At 38.7% G+C, this 24,569-nt stretch overlaps 1 protein-coding gene and 1 long non-coding RNA gene across 13 annotated transcripts in view, besides 2 other annotated features; one reads left to right on the top strand and one right to left on the bottom strand.

Moving 5' to 3' along the window:
* The window catches only part of LOC107986432 (uncharacterized), a 113,452-nt gene extending 92,314 nt beyond the window's left edge, over positions 1 to 21,138 (top strand). Inside the window, exon 7 of the long non-coding RNA XR_001742795.2 lies at positions 20,772 to 21,138. This is a non-coding gene — a long non-coding RNA (uncharacterized LOC107986432). The remainder of the gene's footprint in view (positions 1 to 20,771) is intronic.
* ADGRV1 (adhesion G protein-coupled receptor V1) overlaps positions 8,523 to 24,569 on the bottom strand; it is a 605,641-nt gene continuing 589,594 nt past the window's right edge. For 11 of the 12 annotated variants that reach the window (NR_003149.2, XM_017009963.3, XM_017009968.3 and 8 more), the window contains 3 exons: positions 22,739 to 22,930; positions 19,562 to 19,739; positions 8,523 to 9,178 (listed from right to left, as the gene is read on the bottom strand). Coding sequence is in view for 11 of the 12 variants with exons in the window: in XM_017009963.3 (XP_016865452.1) it covers positions 9,060 to 9,178; positions 19,562 to 19,739; positions 22,739 to 22,930 (489 nt within the window). In the remaining variant the exon portion in view is untranslated. The remainder of the gene's footprint in view (positions 9,179 to 19,561; positions 19,740 to 22,738; positions 22,931 to 24,569) is intronic. The other variant, XM_017009969.3, reaches the window with a different exon arrangement.
* Positions 10,055 to 10,184: an enhancer, noted in NCBI's record as "active region_22784". NCBI's record gives its function as "activates an Ori minimal core promoter by ATAC-STARR-seq in GM12878 lymphoblastoid cells {active_cell/tissue: GM12878}" and the evidence as "EXISTENCE:reporter gene assay evidence [ECO:0000049][PMID:35858748]".
* Positions 10,205 to 10,254: an enhancer, noted in NCBI's record as "active region_22783". NCBI's record gives its function as "activates an Ori minimal core promoter by ATAC-STARR-seq in GM12878 lymphoblastoid cells {active_cell/tissue: GM12878}" and the evidence as "EXISTENCE:reporter gene assay evidence [ECO:0000049][PMID:35858748]".

The following is a 24,569-nucleotide window of genomic DNA, read 5'->3' as shown; positions in this document are numbered from 1 at the left end:
TCTTAAGGCAGAAACGTGGCTGGTATTGATTGATAGAGAAGATAGAAAGGATATAGGAGGGAGCTGTGTGAGGAAAAATTAATCTGGTATTTCTGGCTCAAAATTGAAGGGATGTGTATTAAAAACTGCCTCTGCGTGGCCATGAGCAATGGCTCACACCTGTAATCCCAGCACTTTGGGAGGCTGAGGCAGGCGGATCATTTGAGGTCAGGAGTTCGAAACCAGCCTAGCCAACATGGTGAAACCTCATCTCTACTAAAAATACAAAAATTAGCTGGGTGTGGTGGCGAGGGCCTGTAATCCCAGTTACTCGGGAGGCTGAGGCAGGAGACTCACTTGAACCCGGGAGGCAGGGGTTTCAGTGAGCTGAGATCACACCAATGCACTCCAGCCTGGGCAACAGAGCAAGATTCTGTCTCAAAAAAAAAAAAAAAAAAAAAAAAAAAAAAAGAAACATCTGTGAGTAGAGGTAGCGGTGGGAGGTAGTGGTGAGAAGAATATGCCAATTATTTTGATTCTTTACTAATATTCTGATCAGAATCAGGAATTGAAATGGGACTTCTTCCACTCCCTAATATCCCAAGCACCTAATGTACAAATGCAGGTGCTGGCATTGGGGCGGGGCTGGAGCAGGAAGGAAGGGGATTCTTATTCTGCAATCTCGGCCTGTTCTCTGGGGGACAGAGGCCCATACCCTCCCTAAATATTTTAGTGGACTGAATACTGAAACAGTGCCTCTACTCCAGCAGCTTATCCAATCTCACTTTCAACATCTCTGGGTTATAAAATAACTAAAACCTTTAAGAACTGCTATCAGTCTTAAACTCTGGGTAATAAGGTAGAAACGGAAAGAGATATTTTTTTTCATTGCTTCGCTTGATCCCCTGTCCTGCCTCAGTTAGTCTGTGCCTTGGCACTTGAATTTTTGTGTAATCTCAAGCTGCTTAATCATCACTGGCAGTGACTTAGGTCCTGCAGAGAACTGGCTAAACATCACCCATCTTAATATTTTTGAATTTATTCTTTTCCCTCTAATGAGCTGACGGCTGCACTTCATCTTATTATTTATTTCTTTAAAATTCTTGATTTCCAATTCCAAAGCATTTATTATTTATTTTAAAATTATTTCTTGATTTCATCTTAATATAAATCAAACTTTTATTGGTATTCTGATTTATAATGGTAAATACAATTTAAGGGTAGCCATTATTTTGAACTGAGCTTCTGCACGAGGCCCCAGCAGAACAAACCGAAATGGAGTCACTTGTGTTCAGTGCCACATAATCAAACTGAAATTAAAATGAACAGGAAAATCTCTAAGTAGGCCAGTTTTTCCAAAAAACAAAAGATTCACAGCAACCAATCCAAAAGGACCCAGCTGACCTGAGCCGGCATGATAAGGAAGTCCTTTCTGCTTTAACCCTTATGAGGAAGGTACTCTGAAGTAACCTGAGGTTAAACAATTTGCTTTTTTGTATTAAGCAGTTTCCTTGTTCCTGCTCAAGTTTCCTTACAAAAATCAATTGTCCTGCCATACCCAATGGGGCTCCCTTTGTTTTGTAGATGAGATGCTGTCCAATTCATGAATCACTAATAAAAAACAATCAATCATTAAACTGAATTTGTTGACATTTTTCTTTTTTAACAATAATCAGACAGGCCCACATAGTGTGAAAAATATACTTTATTTAAAAATAATTTCAATATAAATTTTCAAAAACTCTCTCCCCTATAAAATATGAAGTGTGAGGAAGAGGGAAGGATAAATAAGAAGACAAAGAGCAAAGATTCCAAATTTTCTATGTGACCAGTCTTCCAAGAGAAATTTGGTAGGGTTAAGAAAATGCTTTTTCTCTCTTTCAAAATTGCCTATAGTGTTCTAGTTTATAGAGGTTTTGAATAACTGGACCTAAGACAAAATAAAATCTGTTCATCTTTTTGTTCATCCTTCAAATTTGTCAATTCTGTTGTATTTGCTCTATAATCTACACTGGCAAGTTGCAATTCTGTGCATTTTATCAAAACTTTGTTGTGCTGACTTTAAAGTTTTTTCTTTAAAAAATTATTTTCCTTTTCAAACTTTTTCTATCTTTTGCCAGGAAAAAGGGTCCACTTTCCACAGGTTAGTCTTTATCTTGGTGACTGACAAGAAGCAACAACTTTTGACTCAGAATCCTTTGGGTTGTCTTGAGAAATCATGATGTAGTTGGATATGGAAAGGTCTTGATTCTTATCAATATGTAGTTCCTAAAATTGTGGAATAGAGTCATTGCTCGGTTGTGAAGATGATAGTGTGTTCTTCTGAACCTTGGACACAAACAGTTAAACTGATTACATTGCTTTACCTTCAGAGTACAGTGAGTCTTATTTCCCTGGTTTACTACAATGAGAAATTACATGTTATCTAGAGTTGGGTATTATGGAGCAGACTTATTTCAAACATACTTAGTACAGGCATAATGAATCAACCATGAAATGACGAATACACAGTTTTTTGACTTCCTACTGTGGAACCAGATGAGTAGAAGAGATTACAACCATTTGGTTATGAAATACTCATGCATATGTAATTTTCCACACAAAGCCCTTATGACTAACAGGTCTTGAAACAAGAATGAGATGAGAGAAGTAAATATCATCTTTTGTTGTTCATTTATTCCTTTTGTCCTCCCCTAACCCCAGTAATCCTTAAAAATCTATTCTAGTTTGAAACCTGTTATACAGACTACTGCCAAAATGAAAATAACAAGTTTTTCATAGATCTTTAGTGGTTTTCAAGACTCCTTGGATAACTATGAAGCAGAGTGAATTACAGATACAATTCAACAAACTATAGCCTTGAAAATGAAAGCTGTTTGGTAACATGAAGATGATATGGCATCTTATTTGTTCAATAATTGCTATCCATTTGGATTTTTAAAGGCATAACTTCTGTAACCAAATCAATTTTAAAAAATCAAGAAAAAAGATGCTCTAATTTAGCTGCTAGGGTAAAGATGACTTTTTTTCAGCTCAACAAATTTATTGGGCATCATTTTGTTTCAGGCACTGTGTTAGTTGCTTAGGATAACAAAACAAATGAGACAGAGACAAGTAAAAGTGGGAACACTCTTGAGCATATAGTCTAGCACAGGTTGTTTAATTAGGGTTTTGCAGATGTAATTAGGGATTCTGTGAGAAGTTACTATTAGGGGTTCCAGAAGAGATTGGGAAAGTTTTCAAAAAATTTTTTTGAACTTATTTTTCCATGCAGTGCCAGCACTTACAGTGAAAAATAGTGATCAAGTTGCCCTGTAAGCAATTTTTTAAAAATTTATTTTATTGTGGTAAGAATACCCAACATGAGATTTACCCTCTTAACAAAATTTTAAGTGCATATTACATTATTGTTGACTATAAGTACAATGTTGTACTGTTGTATGCCAAATTTCCAGAGCTTATTCTAGAGCTTATTCAACTTGCTTAACTGAAACTTTATGCCCATTGATTTAAATCCCCATTTCCCCTCCCCCATCCCCTGGCAACCACTATTCCACTCTTTAATTCTGTGAAGTTGACTATTTTAGATACCTCATATAAGTGGAATAATGTAGTATTTGTCTTTCTGTGATTGTCTTATTCCACTTATCAACAGAGTAAAATGGCAACCTATAGAATGGAGAAAATATTTGCAAACCATGTTTCTGATAAAGGGTTAATTTCCAAAATATATAAGGAACTCTAACAATTCAATAGCCAAAAACACCTTATAACCCAATTAGAAATGGACTAAGGACTAGAACAGACATTTCTTCAAAGAAGACATACAAATGGCTAACAGATGTATTAAAAAATGCACAATGTCACTAGTCATCAGAGAAATGAAAATCAAAACCACAATGAGATTTCACCTCACAACTGCCAGGATGGCTATTATGAGAAAACAAAAAGACAACAAGTATTGGTGAGGATGTGTAGAAACCAGAACCCTTGTACACTGTTGGTGAGAATACAAAATGGTGTGGCTGCTATGGAAAACAGCATGGGACTTTCTAAAAAAATTTAAAATAGAACTAACAAACGAACCAGCAATCCCACTTCTGAATATTTGTCCAAAAGAAATGAAATCAGAATCTTGAAGAGATACTAGCACTTCTATATTCATTGCAGCACTATTCACAATAGCCAAGATGTGCAAACAACCCAAATGTCCATTGACAGATGAATAGATAAACAGAGTATGGTATAGACATACAGTGGAATACTGCTCAGCCTTTAAAAAGGAAATTCTGCAAAATGTGACAGCACAGATGAACCTTCAGGATAAAGGTGATCTTTTAAAAGGGGAAACAACCCCTTTACTATATAATACGTGTATTATTTGATAGAACATTCAGGAAAGAAACCATAGTACCCCTGATAGTTCTTGAGTATCTTTCTAGTTTGTGTGAGTGTTCTTACCCACTCTTTCAAGTCTTTCATTAAATGACCACTACTCCCCTCCTGTAATGTACAAAAGTCTTCAAAATGATTTTGATGAATGTGCAGAATAAGGATATATAATGTGGTGCAGGATGATGGACTGTTTCACACACTTCACAAGTCAGCTTTTGAAAACATCTTTTAATCATGGAAACTATTATTATTGTAATTTTCCTGTTTTTCTTTTTTTCTTGCTCTGAATTCCCAGGACTTTTTTTTTTTTTTTTTTTTTTTTGAGGCAGAGCCTATCTTTGTAGCCCAGGCTGGAGGTGTAGTGGCACGATCTAGGCTCACTGAAACCTCTGCCTCTTGGGTTCAAGCAATTCTCTTGCCTCAGCCTTACAGGAACCTGACACCATGCCTGGCTAATTTTTGTATTTTTTGTAGAGATTGGGTTTCACCATTTTGGCCAGGCTGGTCTCAAACTCCTGGCCTCAAGTGATCTGCCTGCCTTGGCCTCCCAAAGTGCTGGGATTACAGGTGTGAGCCACTGCACCCGGCCCCCAGAACTTTTCAGCGTCACACACACACACACACACACACACACACACACACCCCATTACCTCTGAAATAAATGTAACCATACCAAAGCTCAAAATAGTGATGTTGAAATGGTTTGCATTGTCTCTTTCCTTCATTAGTGTTACAAAACAAATGCTAGGAGTACAATCCTAAATTTAAAAAAAATCAAATTTGTGATTTGTTTACAAACTCATAAAGGTTTATCACAGGCAAAAAGTAAAGTTTGATCTTGCTAAAATTTGAATTATTGTATCTATTAGAAAGCAGTGATTACTTACGTTTTTTCACAGTCCTAAAATACTATTTCATGTACTGAAAGTGCTCATAAATTTCTAGAGCTATGTCAGTTTTAGAAACTTTGGCTCCAACCTTGGTTCTAATAGGTAGATCCAGTTGCTGAGTCCACTGCAGGGGCCAGGCTGGGAACTGAAATGAGACATCCATAGTATTCCCAAGGACCATGACAGTAGTATTTGATAACAGTATCCCATTGTCACAGATGACAGGAAGCATGGTTATTCGCCATTTGCATTTCTTCTTGAAACCATGTAATTTAGTTTATAAAAGATGTTTGTTAACCATAAATCAATGATACTGAAGCATCAATAAGTATCTGGGTTGTTTTGAATAAATTCTTTGTTAAACACTTTTATCTCCAGTGTAGTCAATTCCTAATTAAAGTAGTTGCCTAACTTGTCAAGGTGGTTTGAATAGTTATAGATTACCACGAAAATAATGTGTTTTCCTTAGGAATATTGTGCATGTATTCACGCATGTGCTAGCTAGTATGCACTATAGTTTAATAAAGCATCTGGGTGTTTCTAAATGTTTATAAAGGTGAATTTGCTTTTCTACTACAGTGTTGACATTTTTATGGAATAAAAGTTTGGGTAGGTGAGAATAATTGAGTAAGAATAAAATCAGAATGTATGAACTACGTTTTCTCAATATCACTCAGCTGAGTTGTATTTTATTTCACTAGTCAGTCAAAAAGACTAGAAGTAGCTGGGCATGGTGGCTCACGCCTGTAATCCCAGCAGTTTGGGAGGCTAAGGCGGGCAGATCATCTGAGGTCAGAAGTTTGAGACCAGCCTGGACAACATGGTGAAACCCTGTCTCTACTGAAAATACAAAAACTTAGCTGGGTGCACTGGCGTGCACTTGTAATCCAAGCTACTCGGGAGGCTGAGGCAGGAGAATCACATAAACCCAGGAGGTGAGGTTGCAGTGAGCCAAGATTGAGCTACTGCACCCCAGCCTGGGAGGCAGAGTGAGACTCCATCTCAAAAAAGAAAAAAAAAAAAGAGTAGAAGAGATGCAAGATGATGAAAGAGTTTCCCAGCCTCAGTCATTTGGTCCATTCTGTAAATATTACTCATTGAATATGTGGTCCTTTGACTTGGATCCTGCTAGAGAAGCATTGGAAGGACTGGGTCTATGACATTAACAATTAGAAGGCCATATGGAACATAGGCATGGCCTTGGTGCTTTCTTTGTTTCTGCCAAAGTCAGGGTGTCCAAGGGAGATCTACTCTGGCATCCAGACACTTTGAGGTCAACATCACTTACTTATCTGATTGACACTTAACCTCAAACAAATCTACCCAGAGGCCTTAGGATCTTAAGTGCTGGTAAACACAAGGTGAAATTGTTTGGGAGTTCAGTTCCCAAATGGCATTTTTTTTCATACCTCCATTATGTTTAAACTTCCGTGATCAGATTTGGGAGGCATGGAAAATGTTGATTAAACCTTAAAGTATCTCAAGAGATTGAAAATCAACGCAAAACTCAAGTTCCAGAATGAAATGCTTTTCTGTGTTTTGTTTACTAAGATTTTCATTCAACTGGTATTTCCTGTCTTGAAATTCCACCAGTTCTATCATCATCCTGTAACCCATGTGCATACCTCTCTGTACTTGTATCCAAATTATGAAAAATCCTTTTTTATTTTAATGTTCTAAAATACTAAAAACGTAAAACAAAAACAAATGCAATAAAGTAATCACAAAAATGCAGAAAAGTGAAGACATTGCCAAGGAAATGTCAGGTATCTCCTACAGAGGAAAGAAAATGTGATGGAGAAGGGGTATACAGAGTTTCTGTTTGGAGTGATGAAAACATTCTGGAAATAGATAAAGGTGATGGTTGCAAAACATCGTGAATGTAATTAAACCACTGAATTATACCCTTAAAATGGTTAAAATAATACATTTTATACATATTTTACTACAATTTTTAAAAACTCCAATAACGTAATATACCAAATACCATTGAAGTGTATACTTTAAATAGGTTTTATGGAATGTGAATGATATCTCAGTAAAGGCGTTAAGGAAATGTCATGGAGAAAAAGAGGACCAATCCTACTTAAAGAGAAAGATCACAGGTGAAGTGTTAGAGTCCTAGCCTTTCCGTTTTCATTTTTGAGAATTTGATTTTATTTGCTTCTCCCTACATAGTACTATATGGCAGGTGTCCCACTTTAATGCACATTTGGAGGAAACAGAATGGCAAACTATTGTTGCTATTGGCATATGAATCTTATTTGTTTTTAGCACTGTGGCTTGTAAAACCTTGGGTTTTCCTTCCAATATTTAAAAGAATCAAGCTGAACAGTGGCAGGTAGCCCTTTTGATTTTTTATCATGATGGCAATTTGAATAGCAATAGAAACCCAGCAACCTTTTTTGGTCAGGTTTTCTCAAATTTTGGCAACACGTAGAAAAGAAAAGAGCTACCAACAATTGCCTTTGTTAGACAATTAGATGTCTAATGTATTTTTTTGTAGAGACAGAGTTTTGCCATGTCACCCAGGCTAGTTTTGAACTCCTGGACTCAAGGGATCCTCCCACCTTGGCCTCCCAAAGTGCTGGGATTACAGGCATGAGCCACTGCTCCTGACCCTTTGTTTTCTACTTACAGTGACAGTCTACTTATCGAAACTCAATATAAGACGAAGGGGGTAGGGGAAGGGGAGGACTCACAGGAAAAGGAGACATTTTATAATTTATCAAGATAAATAATGCCACCTCAGGCTTTATAACAAATAAAGCCACCCTTAATAGCGATGATAAAGCACTTGGATCTTTTAATTATGGCTCTAAGGAAAATTATTAACAGAACAAAATTTTCTCTTAGCTAATCTTTTTAACCTTTCTTGAGATGATACTGATTTTCTCAAACATACTTAAGAATTCCAAAATAAAAAGTCAAAATGCCTTCCTCAGGACAAACTTGTTCTGTTCCTGATGATTCTTCTGGAACTATAGTCAATGAAATCATCACGAACACAACAGCGTTTGTTCTGGGATAGACTTTCTGATGTCTCATTCCAAGACAAAGAAAGACTGAAAAATCCAAACTGAGAAATGTTTCTCTAAAACAAACTCTGCATTGTTTGAAAGATCCTCTTCTAACTGCGTGAAAAAAATGCTTGATGGAGTTATTTTTAACTGGGGACAGAACATTCATTCTGAGAAGTGTTCAGATCCCTAATTTTATAATGAGCAGAAATACATACTGTTGAAAGACTAGGCCAACTTCAGTACTCCAATCAACATTTATGTGCAGGATCATCAACAGACAGACCATTTTACAGTTTTCAGAATTAAAGTCTTCTAGTTGCAGTGAAGTCTTGAATCTGGATCACCTGGATTCATGCAAGATGGCACAGGGTGCTTGTCATCATCTACATATAGAGTTAGCTTTTTTTGCCCATGCACAATGTTTCTTTATCAATAATGAAGCTGGATGATACCAAATAGATTCTATTGCTTTATTGATTATTACTTTCATTAAACAATGTTAGCCATATAGGATGATTAAAAAAACAACTAATATCCTTGGAATATGAACATCCTATTAACTGATACAAACTGACTCCACCTTTCTTATAGCAGTGAATTTTCAGGTCACATACAATCAGTAATTTATACTCCAAATACAACAATCACGTTTGTATTAATCATCCAGTACAATTCACAGGTTCCTATTACACAGGTGGATGTACTTAGAGAGTTTTAGCACAAAAGCTGATACAAATATGAAAGTGTGCTCAGTCGAATGGTTAGTGAGGTGCTACAGGTGAGTGTCGGCGATGGGTATCCTCCTGAGCTCCACGATCTGGGAGTCAGTCAAGGTGCCCCCCTCCTGGCTGCCTTGACCAGATTCATTATCACTGACACTGAGACCAGCACCTGCCACAGAAATAGAATGAACACAAAAATCCAAACTATTAGTGCAGTGAATTCTTAAGAATCAATTTACATTAGGTCCAAGCCTGTTTATTTCTATTATATTAGTAAAAAATAAGCCATACATTTAGAATAGATATTATTAATACCTAACAATTATGAAACTATCTTTTACATTTCCTTTGGCAGTTTTTTAAATTGTACGGATTAATTTCTAAAGACACACATTTGGGTTCTCAATCTTTACTGTTTGTTTTTCACATGGTGGGCAGGTGTAACCTACTACCACAATATAATCTCTCAATTGAGGGCTCATCAAAATAGAAAATCAGTCAGGTTATTAGACTTTTTCACCAGTGGGGTAGGATTTGCTGTTACAAAACATATAGGCCCCGAATTCATATGCACTGAGGTCCATCACTTGAGATTCAGTGTTGGGCAGTGATCTGAGAAGAAAGACAGGCATGTGAGAACACCTGGAGTCACACCAGTGCCCTGAAGACATTGGCTTTGAATGATTCAGATCTGATCCTAAGATAAAAATAATTACGTAACACAGTGCCAAAATAGATCCACACAGGAATTCCACCACAGTAGTTACTGTTAACTACTGACAGCGCTCAGAATCTGTTTTGAGGAAGCTCCACTATTCATTACTTTTTTTTTCACAACTCAGATAATTGAGAAAAAACTATGCTAGAGTAACACCTTGTTCTTTTCTTTTTCTTTCATATTTCTAGAGAACAATGTTCTTTTCTTTTGTAATAACGTTCAGAGGAACACATAAACTCTCATCCTCTCTACACACACACAATGGGGATGTGGTCATAGGGTGTGCTGGATGAATCACCAGAGGTTACCAGGGCCAGCCCCACTAGACTCTGCAAACAAGGAGGAAAGTGAAAAACCGGTTGCTCAGGCAGCTGGGATTTCCCTTTCTGTCTGAGAGGAAGAAAAGGCAATTCTGCAGAGTTGACAGTTGTGGGAAAATGGTGAATTGGCTTAATCTTAGCCTATCTGGAGATGGAAGCCAGAGCCTACTAGTGACCTTCTAGCCAAGCCCTCCTTCTTCTGGGTCTCTGACCTTCGCACTCTCTCTGTTAAAGGCCGCTGTTGAAACTCCACTTCCTCTCTTTGCTTCTGTGACATGGTACTTGCCCATCTTATCCTCTGATCTGCTGGCTCTTTCTAGATCTATTCTGCTTTCTCATACACTTCCTCCTGCTGCCTCATTTCTGGAGGCCTTGTTTTCTGCCCTGTCTCAAGGCCTGCAGGATCCTCTTGCCTGCACTCTCTCCTAATGTCTCACTAGGGTTTCCAAGCTCAGGACACGGAGCAGCAGGTCACTGCCTTTTCACACGACGTTCTTATGCTGGCACCTCTGCCTGGGGTGCTCTTCTCACTTCCCACCTCCTTCATCTGGCTGCCTCCACTCTTCCTACCAATATCAACTCTGCTATCCCTTGAAACATGATGATTCTCTTTTAAAATTTCTGACCCCCCCACTGGATTATGTCCTTCCTATCTTTCTGTCTCCTAGCTCATAGGACAGTGCTCAGTACACTGCAGGTGTTCAGCAAATGTGTGCTGAATGTAGTATTAAACTGTGCTCTGCATCCTAAGTCGTGAACCTGCCTGCTCCATCTCATCTCCTGTTCTGTTCCTCTGGTCTGTTCTGTATTCCACTGCCCTCTCCTTCTCAAGAACGAGTGTTAGTTCCTATTGCCAGTTACACTGAGTTGGGAACCCTCTGCTTTGGCTTTCATATCAGTCTTTAATCTGTCTCTAGCCTATCAAATAGATGTATCCCAACCATTGCCTTTTGGAGCGCTTTCTCTGAAACTGATCAGGTCTCCTGATGCCCTGAATGCACCATGTTAATTCCAGCCTGAATGTCTTCCTGCCTGCCCATCAGGGCCCATCTCTATACCTTTTTACAGATACTTATTTTTCCATCTCCTCAAAATAGGGAGCTGGAGGACATAAAATGTGAAAAGTTCTCATCCCTGACAAAATCATTAATCACCTCCCCTTTATTCTCTCACACTGCCCAGGTTTTGATGATAAATTTAATAATACTCCTATCTACAATGTATACATAAGCCATAAAGCAAAATGCTTAACAAACACTCATAAACTCCTTTCTTCAAGAACCAGAATATTGCCAGTGACAATGTATTTTTAAAAATTTACTAAGTTGCTAAAATTTACCAATTAATACATTTCACATCAAAAAAATCAGATTTCTGGTTTCTCTTGAAAAAAAAAAAAAAAAACTAACAAAAACAACAACCAGAAGATCAGGCAACATTGGGCCTGCATTTCCGCATTACAAAACAAAACAAAAAACAACAACAAAAAACCCATGGACCAGGCAGTCCTTCAGTTTGTCTCTGTTTTCACCCAGCCCTCTTCAATCATTTATGGACTACCATAAATAATGCTTGGCCCCCGAAGGTAACATTTGTGTCTACTTCCAGGCCTTCGAAGGACAAATGGCCCATGCTTCTCTGCTGGGAACAGGAGAACCGTGTTATGTGGAAGAACCTCAGTGAACTGGCGAGACAGTGGCCATTCTATAAGGAGGTGACTAAGGCCCTGGGGCCTGTAGCAAGGAAGAGCTAAATATGGAAGCACTAGGGAGGAACAGAGAGGACCCCATGATTAGCCTCAGGGAAGACTGAGGCCGAATGACTTAACTAGTACCAACTCCCAGTGATTTCAGTGTCTGCCTACTCTAAATCCCACTAGGAATATCATCATAAAGCATGTGATGACAACTGGGACAAGGCACACTAGAAAGACAAGCTCTGCCTTATTGAAAGCATGCTGAGCTTGTTTAGCAACTCAAGATATGTAAGCAAGTTCTAGACTCGTCTTGAGTCACCACATCTACTGACCCATCTCATCATCCTCCTTTGCAATTTCTTCCAAGTTCAAAGAAATGCACAAATATCCAGATACTCATCCCTCACTGAGACTCAGAAAAGGCATATATTACACACAAGTATAACATGCCGAGACCTGGGAGCACAAACCAGGTCTCCCATCCCTTTGCAATTCATTAAATGGTATAGGCGGGTAGTTTGCAGTAAGTATCCTGATTTTCTGAAAGGTGTTTCCATGCTTAAATTTCAAACCAAAAGTTTAAGAAAAATCCAGCGACTGTGATAACAGGGACACTTTCCTTTGGTCAATAGAACAGGCAATTATAAAGGAACTAAAAGTAATAATTTACATTCATCATGAGCTTCATCTTTTCTTAACATTTTAATATACTTTGGTTAGGATAGGGTGAGTATCAGTCCTGTTTTACAGATGCACGGACTGAGTGAGGATGAGAGGTGCTAGCTGAGTGGCCCACATCAATGTGACAATGATCCAAAGACCATACCCCTTCCATCTTTTTCTGAGGAAAAAATTCAAAATCTTTCAAAATTCCACCTTTCCATTTTGATTCTTACCTAACTTTGTTTACTACACTGGGCTGCATAAGTTCTTGAAGTTAAATAAGTCATTGTGGTTTGATGGGATATCTTGCAAAGAGAAATTTATTGATGAGTTCTTGGAGAAGTTTGAGTATTTTGGGCCTTGATTCTGAATGTTTTCATTTGTGTTCAAGGACTTGTCATCTATTTTCTTCTAACTGAAAAATAAATCATTTCTAGGTTTCCCATATGGAAATGTTTACCATGACATTGATGTCATTGGCCTGGGATAACACCAGGAGGCTAGGGGGCTGGGGATGGTGGGGAATCAGGTTAGTCATTCTGGGAGAAGCCCTCGCTGAAGAAAGACTCCTTTCTAAGCCCAATATGTTCCAAGCTTGACATTTTCAGGAATCTTGTCAACTTGGGATCAACACAGAAATGCCAGTACTCAAGGCACACCTTGTTAAGCATGTAAATGGAGACATTCCTTTCCATCCTACCCTCATCCTGAGTCTTTGTTCTAGTTTGCTCTGAACTTTCTCCTCTTCCCTAAAATGGAGGCTGTCCCAGGGTGACTGTTCCCATTCTCCTAAAGTCCTGGTTGGGGACACTGATGATACATTAGACAGCTCTATTTAAAATAAAAAAAAAAAACTAATAATAATCAGGATACCACTAGTCTAGAACTCAGTGTCTCATTTGCCTGTGGAAGTGCCGATGTACTTCAAGAACAAATAATTGAAGGACATTATGTCATCTTTTTTGAGAGTGAAATGTGGATTTCTCATAGAAAGTCGAATATTTTAACTTAAAAACTTAAAACGTCAATAGTGTTTTCTTTTTCTAAATTTTTAAAAATGTAATATGGTTAAAATTAGATTGAAAAAGAAGTCCATGACTGTTTTATGGGCCAGGGCTTCTATTTTAGATCAAACAATTTTAATATACTTGCCTTTAATATAAGTTTGAAGTATGCAACAAAGTATGCACTAACACAGTGGCTTCAAAAACACTGTCTTGCCCACATCAGAATTCATTTGTAGCTGTCAAACATGAATTTGGAGCCTGCTGACAAGCATTTGTAAATGCTTGTAAAGAAGTGATGATTTTTTTAATCTGGAAACTGACTACTTAAGCTTTCTGTCTTAGAGATATAGTCTTTCTCATGGTTAATCTTAACATAATTAAAAAGAGAATGTCTTAGCTAAAGAGTGTTAGGTCTCCTCCTTGCCCCTTAGAGCAATGGCATTCTGACATTAAATTCTCTCTATTGCACTCAGTAAAGGCATTCTACCTACTGAATTAATGCAAGCATTTTAGTATGTGCTTGAATATCTGAACATTATTCCTAACTGAAAGATGATGAATTGTAAGGGAGATTAAAAGGGCACAGGAGATAGTATCAGTGGCTATTGAAAGGCCTAGTCACTCTTCCTGAATCCCATGCATCTATCCATCCATCCATCCATCCATCCATCCATCCATCCATCCATCCATCCATCCACCCATCCATGTATCCATCCAATATGGAGCATCAACTGAGATACTCAGCACTGCTACATTTCCAGGGATACTGAGATGAATCCTGGTTTTTCAGAACATAAACTCTGGCCCAGGACTAGGCCAGATTCTTATTTCTACATGTTCACCTGGCCACCCTTCCTGCTTCTATGTGGAATTTGCATTGGATGGACCATGCTTCCTATTCTTGTGACCTACTTGCTCATTTGAGACTTATTAACCTCTGTCTTGATTATTACATACTCTCTGACACATATTTTAGTGCAGGATCTTAGGGGAAGGGAAGTACATAGAACAAACCTGATTAACAGGTGGTACAATTTGAGAAGGATTTTCAAATTTGATCTTTCATCTGATGCTACCACAGTCCCTGAAGTCCCACAAGTAAAAATGAACTTTTTTCCACCTTGTAGGTTTTGGTTTTTAAGGGTTTTCTATTAAGATGTAAAAACCACAGAAAAAGCTTTTATCTTCTACCTGTTTATAGAAAACTTCATTATGAATGATGCTATAGCTAAGAAAGGAGGAGGTTAAAAAGAATGGCTGTTGAATGCCAAAGGCCCATTTTTGCCTTAAATTTCCAGTGTTCTCTAAGGTTGGCTGCAGATGTAAGGAGAGATTGGAGGCCTGCCAGAAAGCCTAGGACATGGGCAGAAATTGGTGGCTCATTGTCACATAATCTCAAGTAGAAAATTATCAGATACATGGTAGAAACTGTTATTTGAGAATAAGGAAATCTTTGCAATGTAGGATTTTTGAAGTAGAAGGGAAAATAGGAGTGTGCTAGCCCAGTTATTATAGGTGAGAAGAGGTGGTTAACGATTTGGCTAACGTCAGTGGTCAATGTGGGAGCTGGCTGCCCCTCCTCATAATCTAATGTTGCACATCGCTCCAGGTCAGTGCCTCTGCAGGATGTAAAGCACCTGAAGTAGAAGTCTTCAGGCTGGGATTCCTTTAACTTGTGGTACATGATGCCTTTTCAAGGAGTACAAGATAGTATGGGAAGGACAGCTTTAAGGGAATACATTCCCAGATCTTGAATTTCCATATCTATTATTCTGATGAGTCTTTTTCATTTTTGACAATCATTTATCAAAACAGATGTTTTTGTTACTCATGTTGATTTGTTGAACTGTACACTAGGAATAATTGTAATGGTAACAGTATAAAAGAAATGTTGAACACCTTAGAGTCTTATGGCCACAGAAAAAAATTAAGTTCTAATTTAAAAACATGTTCTGTTGGAAAGAAATATGAGTAAAATGAATTTTAAGTATAAAATATATTATAGTAGGATAAAATTCTGTGGAGAAAGTAGAATGGAAATATAAGTTCAAGGAGAAAAGAAAGTGATGTCAAATTTCCAATTATAAAAAAAAGCCTGTTCACATATTTAAAAAATGAATAACTAGGTATTGCATTGCTAAGGTAGTTAGCAAAGAGCCTTTGGGTTAGTTTCAAACAATAATGTAAAAGTTTTATTTTCAAACACCAAAATGTATGATATAGTGGAAATTACATTATTTGATACCATTTAAACTGATTATGAAAAACTTTTTAAACACATGCAAAAGGCTACATAGCTTTGACAAGTTGTTTAGGGGTTCAAATGAAAGAGACATGGAAGGCCCACTGTTTTAGTACTTGACTTGGAATGGGCCATAGTGAAGGTGGACCTGAGAGGGACCAAGGTTTGCAAACTCAAATGTCCTAGTGGCCAAGGAGGTTTGCATAAACCAGTGACATGGGCCTAGTAGGCACTAGACAGTGGAAGAGCTCATGTCCAAAGGGGCTGCTATTACTCAGTTCCAAGCAAGCAGCGCTGTGCTCGACTTCAAAGACTCTGTTGCTAGATTTTTCTAGAAATTCTATATTTTTAGAAAATAGCTCTGTATTTTTCATATTGGCTCAAAAAATGTTAAGATGTTATATGGATCAAACAAAGCACTTTGTTGGGCTGAATCTGGCCTTATGGGTCAGTTATAACTGCTGTAGACAAAATGGCATGTAGACTGACCTTTATTTGACCATATTCTAGGAGGGAAAGTGTCCAGTGGCTGATACATGATTACTACATTACTTTTTCTAAAAATATAGGGAACCAAGTATTAGAGATTGTTATTTTGGTCTTTTAAAGTATTTATTTCCTAGTGAGTTCAGGGAACTCTACAAATCTATAAGTAAGGAAGACATTCCTTACATTCTAGAACCAAATGCACTTCATAGTTACATAAATATAAGATGTAATGTAATATAGATCTAATTTAATTATGTTCCAAGAATTCACTTTATGTTTCCGGTGTCATAACTTCAACAACTGATGACACTGTAGCACTGAGGACATAATCTGCCCTGAGAATTACTTGTAGTCTGATAGCCTCTTTTCAGCCCTGACTTTAAGGAAAGTTTTGTGCAGCTAATCATTTCTTCCTTCCTGAAACTCCTTCCTCTTTGTTTTTCTTTCTGAACTTGCTACAGTTTCTTGGTGAGACTGTCTTCTAATTCACTCTTTAAATGTTGGTATTATCTATAACATTCCTGTTTCCCTTCCTTCTTCTCCCCTGACTTCCTCATCTCTTTTCCTTTCTTCTCTCTCCTTCCAGTCTCCCAGATCAACCTTTTTTCATCTCCATAGCTTCAAATATCATCTCTGTGCTGATGCATTTCAAATCATTACCTTTTATCCTGGTCCCTCACCTAAGATCCAAACCTGAATATTTAGGAGCCACCAGGCCTACATCTGAACTCATCAGTTTCCTCCTGCAAACAAATAAACAAACAAATGCTCTATATACTTTTCTTTTAGTCAGCCATTGTGGTGAGAAGCATGAGCTTTGGAAGATTGTCCCTCAGTCTTTCCTCGGCATTCCTCTTGTTGGGAAGCTCATTTCCCATTTTTATTTCCACTCTCCAGATTTGAGGCCTTAATCTCATTCTTTTGGAACACTGTAATAACCTCCCAGCCTTTCTGATATTGCTTCTAAATTTATTTCTTCATACTTTCATAAGAGTTATTTTGCCTCAAAACAAATAGGAACATGCCATTTCTTTCCTCCAAAACCTACATGGCTCACTATGTTCTATAAAAATCTCACTCCTTACCATGGCATCCGAATAGCATTTTAATATTATGCAAAGTATCAGTGAGTGTTCTGCTCCCCCACAATGATTGTATTGCTAGTGTTCTGGAAAGACCAGGTTAAATTAAGCAAAATGGGTTTCCTTGGTCTAGAACATTTTAGAGCTGCTAAAATGCTAATGTGAATTGTGAATCTCTGCAATTGCCCAAATATACTGGGTCAGGGATCCTCCCATTGCGGAATGACTATGAATAGCTAAGGGAGGGTGTTTGCTGAAACCCAGCTGGGGAACTCTAGTAGATTATTGATGGTGCCGGCAAGCTACCTGTCAGGCCTGCCTTCTGCTGCCCGGCTTCTCTCACTCTCTGCCCCTGCCACACTGCAGCACTGGTTCTAAAACAGGCCACACACCATTAAGCCTCTGGGCTCCTGCTAATTCTATTCCCTCAGTCCCTAATGCCCTTTCCTCCATTCTTTACTTGTTCAAAACCTATACATCCTTCAAGAATTAATAGAGAATTTTTTGTTACTTTTTCATCTCCTCTGTCATTTTTTAACTCTCTCCATTACTTTATTCTTTCTTATGTCATGTTTATGTGAATGTCTATTTTTCCTAGCAAACTCTAAGCTTCATTGTTCAAATTCATCCCCTCACTCAGGATTCAGCAATATCTAGCAAAGGTTATTCTAAGCACTAATCTGAGTATAGGGTTGAGTTCTTATTCCTTTCCATAGTGATATGATTTGGCTGTGTCCCCACCCAAAATCTCATCTTGAATTGTAAGAGTCAATTGTAATTGTATAATTCAATTATAATTGTAATTCTAGCCCCACATTCTCCACGTGTGGTGGGCAGGACCACGTGGAGGCAACTGGATCATGGGGGCAGTTTACCCTATGCTATTCTTATGATAGTGAGTGAGTCTCACGAGATCTGATGGTTTTACAAGTGTCTGGCATTTCCCCTGCTTGCCCTCACTCTGTCCTGCCACCCTGTGAAGAAGGTGCCTGCTTCTCCTTTGCCTTCCGCCATGATTGTACATTTCCTGAAGCTTCCCCAGCCATGTGGTACTGTGAGTCAATTAAACCTCTTTCCTTTATAAATTACCCAGTTTCCAGTATTTCTTCATAGCAGTGTGAGAATGGACTAATACAGATAGGATGTGCCATTCTTAACAAAGCACTCGAGAGGCGGTTGTGCCACAGCGGCTGAGAGCACGGTCTCAAGGCCAGGCGGCCTGCATCTGCTTTGCGCCGCCGCTTAACTATGTAACCTTGGGAAGGTTGTAAAATATGATACATGAAAATATGCTGTTATTCTTAGGAATTTTGGAGTATTTTTCAAGATATAATAAAATTTTAACTTCAAAATAATAAAGAAAAATGTTTTAGCAAAGCAATATACTTCATAGCCAAACAATAAAACTATAAGAAAGTAAAATGCACTTCTGAATAAATATTTCAATAACTTCAACTGGGCATGGACACATTTTCTTGCTTATGTGGTTATCTAGAAATTAAAATTCACTGGAATTTTTATAAGTGTCAGTTCAACATTTTTCTGAGGAAAAAATTTTTAAACTGCATATTTGATTTGAAAACTCAAATTAGTTTACGGTTTTCTTTTAATGTTCAAAATAGAATTTCTGACCAATAAAATATCCACTATGTTTATATTATGAATGCAGATATCATTTAGACACACTGGAAAGAATGATATCCACTAACTGTTTCACCCAGGAGCGTGTGACCCTTAATCAGGCGGTTTCATGGTCTTTTATTGCCTTAGCATGTTTCTAGTATCATATGCTGATGAGTTGGGACCTCTTGGACTGTTTTCCTCTCATTCTGTAAGAACTATCCACTGGGGTCAAAGTTGAGTGGGACTGAGTAAATAGGAGGGTCAAAGAATTATTGTATGTGATAGCACTTGGAAATTATAGAACTATACCATGCTCATTATGTTGCCTTGGAAAGTTTCTGCTTCAAAGGCACTGCATAAGAAGGTCTCTTTGGCAGGCCAGAGGCAAAACTCCCTCAGTGAGATCCCTATCGACTGTCTATAGCAAACTTAATAGTATCTTGGTGTTCTAGCAAGATTCCAGGACAGGGATATTTACATTTAGTTAGAGTATGTCTTTTTTGAAAACAAGTTATAAATTATTTTTAGGTTGTCTTACATTTGGTGCCAAGAACAAAATATCCTAGAGTTTTCCTGGGATTAGGAATGGGTCATGAGAATCAGGATGTGCTAAGGGTGACTGATAGTACTTTGCAACTTCATGGAAAGAAAATATAAATTGTAACATAGCAAGAGTGCCTACTTCTAATGTCGTTCATGGGTTCATACATACCAGTTTTTAATGCAAATATTAAATCATCAAACTCCTGGGACTCCTCATCGGCTATCAGTGACCCCTGGCCATATCCTCCAGAGGACGGGAACGTGGCTCCATTTTGTGGACTTGGCTTTAAATCAGGGCTGGCCTGACTGCCCTGTTGGAAGGATGCTCTCTCCCAGTCAGGTGGCACCTTTTTAGATTGGGATGGGGGGAAAAAGAAACCATAATATGAATGCATACACATTCACTATGAAACCCAAATGGACAATTGATCTCTGCCTCTCCGTACAAAGACCTTGCTAAACGGCAGTGGCATTGTTTTGAAACTAGACCTTTACTTATTTATAAATTTATTTTTTCTAGAGATGGAGTCTCACTACATTGCTCAGGCTGGTCTCAAACACCTGGGCTCAAGAGATCCTGCCTCAGCCTCTCAAAGTGCCGTGATTATGGGTGTGAACCACCATGCCTGGCCTTAAATTTCGGTGGGAGGATTGCTTGAGCCCAGGAGTTAGAGACCCACCTGGACAAGACTGTAAGACCCCCATCTCTACGAAAATTTTTACAATGTAAAAAATTAGCTGGGTATGGTGGTGTGCACCTGTATTCCCAGCTACTCAGGAGGCTGAGGTGGGAGACTCACTTGAGCTCAGAAGTTTGAGGCTGCAGTGGGCTATGATCATGCCACTGTGCTCCAGCCTGGGTGACAGAGAGACATCCTGTCTCTACTAAAAAAACAAAAACAAAAACAAAACAAAACAAAATAAAACAACTTTAATTTTATCTTCATTCTTTAGAAAATTATGTCTCTCCCTGAGACAATTTAATCTGTGATTCTAAACCATGTCTCTATTTGAATTACTTGTAGATTTCTATGTTGTCATGTGTGGGGAACGAAAACTAATTTTTAACCCAATAAATACTTTTTTTTGGTAAGATGTATGCAAAGAAAATTCTGTTAAAAAATATAAGAAATGGAGAAGAATCCTCCTAATCCTTTATCTAAAATGCCACATAGGATTTTAAATATAGTAGGTATCTATAAGGATATACTAAATTGAGAAAAATACTTTCATAGCATTCCTCCTTGTTTTTGATTGAATGATTAAAAAGATAGCTCTATCCTGGAATGATTAAATGTATTTACATCCCTCTAGGTTACTGGTAAACAACCCCTTAATCCTTCCTTCCTGTACTTTCCCTTCTCTGCATGGTTTTTTAGAATGTCTCTGACGGCACTTCACTGACAGCTGAATCAAGGCCAATTCTATGCCTCTGAGGAATGCAGAGCATACTTCAGGCTCTCCTGTTGCACAACACCCAAGTGAGCACCCAAGTGGTGGCTCTGGACCAAGAATTGGACTGTTACAGCTACTGCCTACCAACATAGGGTGTTCTGAGAGACAGGTTACAGCTACTGCCTATCAACACAGGGTGTTCTGAGAAACAGCAAAGACACTTCGTTTCTGAAAATGGCGATCTGAGAACTTTAGAAATGAACTTGAGAGGAAAAGATGAACCTTAAAAAATTTCACTAGGAAGTTGAACATCTAGACCAGCAGTGTCCAATAAAACTTTCTGCACTGATACAAATGTGTTATATCTGTGTTCTCCAATATGGCAGCTACCAAACACATGTGGCTGTTGAGCACTTAAAATGTGGTGAGGGTGAATGATAAACTGACTCTTTAATGTTGCCTAACTTTAGTTTAAATTTAAATAGCCACATGCAGCTAATGGTTATTGTATTGAACAGTTCAGATGTAAACAAATGCTGGACTGAGCAACCATTCAAAAAAAATTTTAAGATTCATTTCTGAATTCTTGATCCTAAAAAAGTCCCTGTTTCCATTGGGCCTGCTGTGATGAAATAAGTCTATTTTAAGAACTTTGGGGATAGAGAAATCGTACTAGATTTCCAAAAAATTAAGGATACTAAAGATATAGGTTGATTTTTAAAGACTGTACTTGAACTTATTCATTTTATAACTCAAATTTTGTACCCTTTGATCAAAATCCTTCATTTCTTTCACCCCCAGCACCTGACAACCACCTTTCTACTCTGTTTCTGTTACTAGTTAATAATTCTGTATATAAAAATTTCTCATTCAAACTAAAAATATATATAGTACTTGAATTGTGAATATTTACCTTAATTTTAACCTAACATAAATAAAATACCTTTCCATATTGCTATGAAGGACAAAAGTTATCTCTGGACAGGTAAGTTATCAGTCTATTGATTTATCTATCTACCAATCTCTCCATCCATCTATTAATATAAACTGTTTCCTTTTCAGACAGATGTACCTTGATTTCCTGCCATTTTTCAGGAAGTAAACACAAATACTGTTTTCCTTGGCTCCTTAATATAAAGAGGGCAATATGAGCTTATAAAAAAATGGTAACCAAGCACATCTTGGACACTGCAGAAATTTTTAGAGGCCTTTGTTACTATCTCCTCCTGGCCAAAGGAATTCAGGGATGTTTTAAAATGTGAGCAGTGGCCCCACTGCTAGGGGCAGCATTACTGACAAGCTGGTGGCAATGGGATTCACACACAGGAAATAAAAATGATGTGGACAGAATGCAGAGAGCAATGGGAGGTAGATTTGTACAGAGGAAATCCTGGCTAGATTTTCCAATAGTGCTGCAGAAGCACTCTTCTGAGCTTGTTTTCTAAAATATTTTCTGGTATGTAAATTGAAAAGAGGTTTGGCTTAATTTCTTTTCTCTGTTTGCTGGGATTGAAGTAGTGAGTTGGAATGGGTGGAGGAAGAGAGCTATGAAAGTATTTTTAGGAAAAATAGCATCTTAAGAACCATTTCCTTGGCAGACCCAGTCACTGACATGTCAAATTAGAAAGATTCTGAAGAAAGAAATGTCAAATTATACTCCATCTGATTTCCCAACACAAACTGCTGGTCAGTCTAGCTCACAGGGTGAGGAAGAAAAAGAATTAGATAATGGGTGTGACGCTATAGTAAGGAAACCAAGTACCATAGGTCAGAAGTTGTCACCTGGTGTGATTCATCTTGATTTAAAAGTCACCTAGTGTGATTCATCTTGTACTCTTTATGAGGTGGAGAGCCTGTCAATGAGACAGACAGACACAGAGAGAGAGACAGACAGAGAGAGAGAGAGAGACAGAGACAGAGAGACAGAGAATGAAAGGGCAAGGGCAGACACCTCCTCCATAGCACCGATGAGATTCTGGGTGGACTTGCTGATTTCCCCTCCAGCAGGAGGCATTCCACTCCCGGGCGTGAAAAAGGCTGTGCTGGGTCCAGGATGCCCATTCATTTCCACAGTGTAACTGGCCTTCATAGGGCAACACATTTGGTTGTGTAAAATGAAATAAACCATGAAAACATAAAGTCCCTGCAAAAAAAAAAAAAAAAGAAAAGAAAAGAAAAAGAAAAAGAACATCAGCATGTCAAAGTCAGTCCTGCTACCGTAGCTGAAGAATAAACATGGTTGTATTGGTCCATTCTCATGCTGCTATGAAGAAATACCCAAGACTGGGTAATTTGTTTTTCTTTCTTTCTTTTTTTCTTTCTCTTTTTTTTTTTTTTTTTTGAGCTGGAGTTTTATTCTGTCACCGAGGCTGGAGTGCAGTGGCATGATCTTGGCTCACTGCACTTCTGCCTCTCAGACTCAAGTGATTCTCCTGCCTCAGTCTCCCGAGTAGCTGGGACTATGGGCGTGTGCCACCACACCTGGCTAATTTTTATATTTTTAGTAGAGACGGGGGTTTCATCATGTTGGCCAGGCTGGTCTCGAACTCCTGACCTCAAGTGAGCCACCCACCTCAGCCTCACAAAGTGCTGGGATTACAGGTGTGAGCCACCGTGCCCAGCCAAGACTGGGTAATTTATAAAGAAAAGAGGTTTAATTGACTCACAGTTCCACATGGCTGGGGAGGCCTCAAGAAACTTAACATCATGGTGGAAGGCACCTCTTCACAGGGTGGCAGGAGAAACAATGAGTGCAAGGAGGGGAAATGCCAGACGCTTATAAAACCATCAGATCTCATGAGACTCACTAATTATCATGAGAACAGCACAGAGAAAACTGCCTCCATGATCCAATTATTTCCACCTGGTCCTGCCCTTGACACATGGGGATTATTATAATTCAAGGTGAGTTGTGGAGAACACAGAGCCAAACCATATCATTCCGCCCCTGGGCACTCCCAAATCTCATGTCCTCACATTTCAAAACACAATCATGTCCTTCCAACAGTCTCCCAAAGTCTTAACTCATTCCAGCATTAACCCAAAAGTCCAACTCCAAAGTCTCATCTGGGACAAGGCAAGTCCCTTCCACCTCTGAGCCTGTAAAATCAAAAGCAAGTTAGTTGCTTCCTAGATATGATGGGGATACAGACATTGGGTAAATACACCCATTCCAAATGTGAGTAATTGGTCAAAACAGAGGGGCAACAGACTCCATGCAAGTCCAAAATCCAATAGGGCAGTCATTAATCCTTAAAGTCAAAAAATGATCTTTGACTCTATATCTTACATCCAGGTTCACGCTGATGCAAGAGGTGGGTTCCCGCGGCCTTGGACAGCTCCACCCCTGTGGCTTTGCACATTACAGACCCCCTCCCAGCTGCTTTCACAAGCTGGCTTTGAGTGTCTGTGGCTTTTCCAGGCACACAGTGCATGCTGTTTGTGGATAAACCATTCTGGGGTCTAGAAGATGGTGGGCCTCTTCTCACTGAGGCAGTGCCCCAGTGGGGACTCTGTGTGGGGGCTCCAACCCCAATTTCCCTTCTGCATTGCCCTACCAGAGGTTCTTTATGAGGGCTCCACCCCTGCAGAAAACTTCTGCCCGGGTGTCCAGGCATTTCCATATACCCTCTGAAATATAGGCAGAGGTCCCCAAACTCAATTCTTGTCTTCTGTGTACCCACAGGACCAGCACCATGTGGAAGCTGCCAAGGCTGGGTGGGGGCTTGCACCCTCTGGTGCAATGGCCTGAGCTGTACCTTAGCCCCTTAGAGTCATGACTG

Source organism: Homo sapiens, chromosome 5 (genome assembly GCF_000001405.40).
Source record: "Homo sapiens chromosome 5, GRCh38.p14 Primary Assembly".
In the NCBI taxonomy this organism is placed as follows: Eukaryota; Metazoa; Chordata; class Mammalia; order Primates; family Hominidae; genus Homo; species Homo sapiens.
This window is presented reverse-complemented; position numbering and strand designations above follow the sequence as displayed.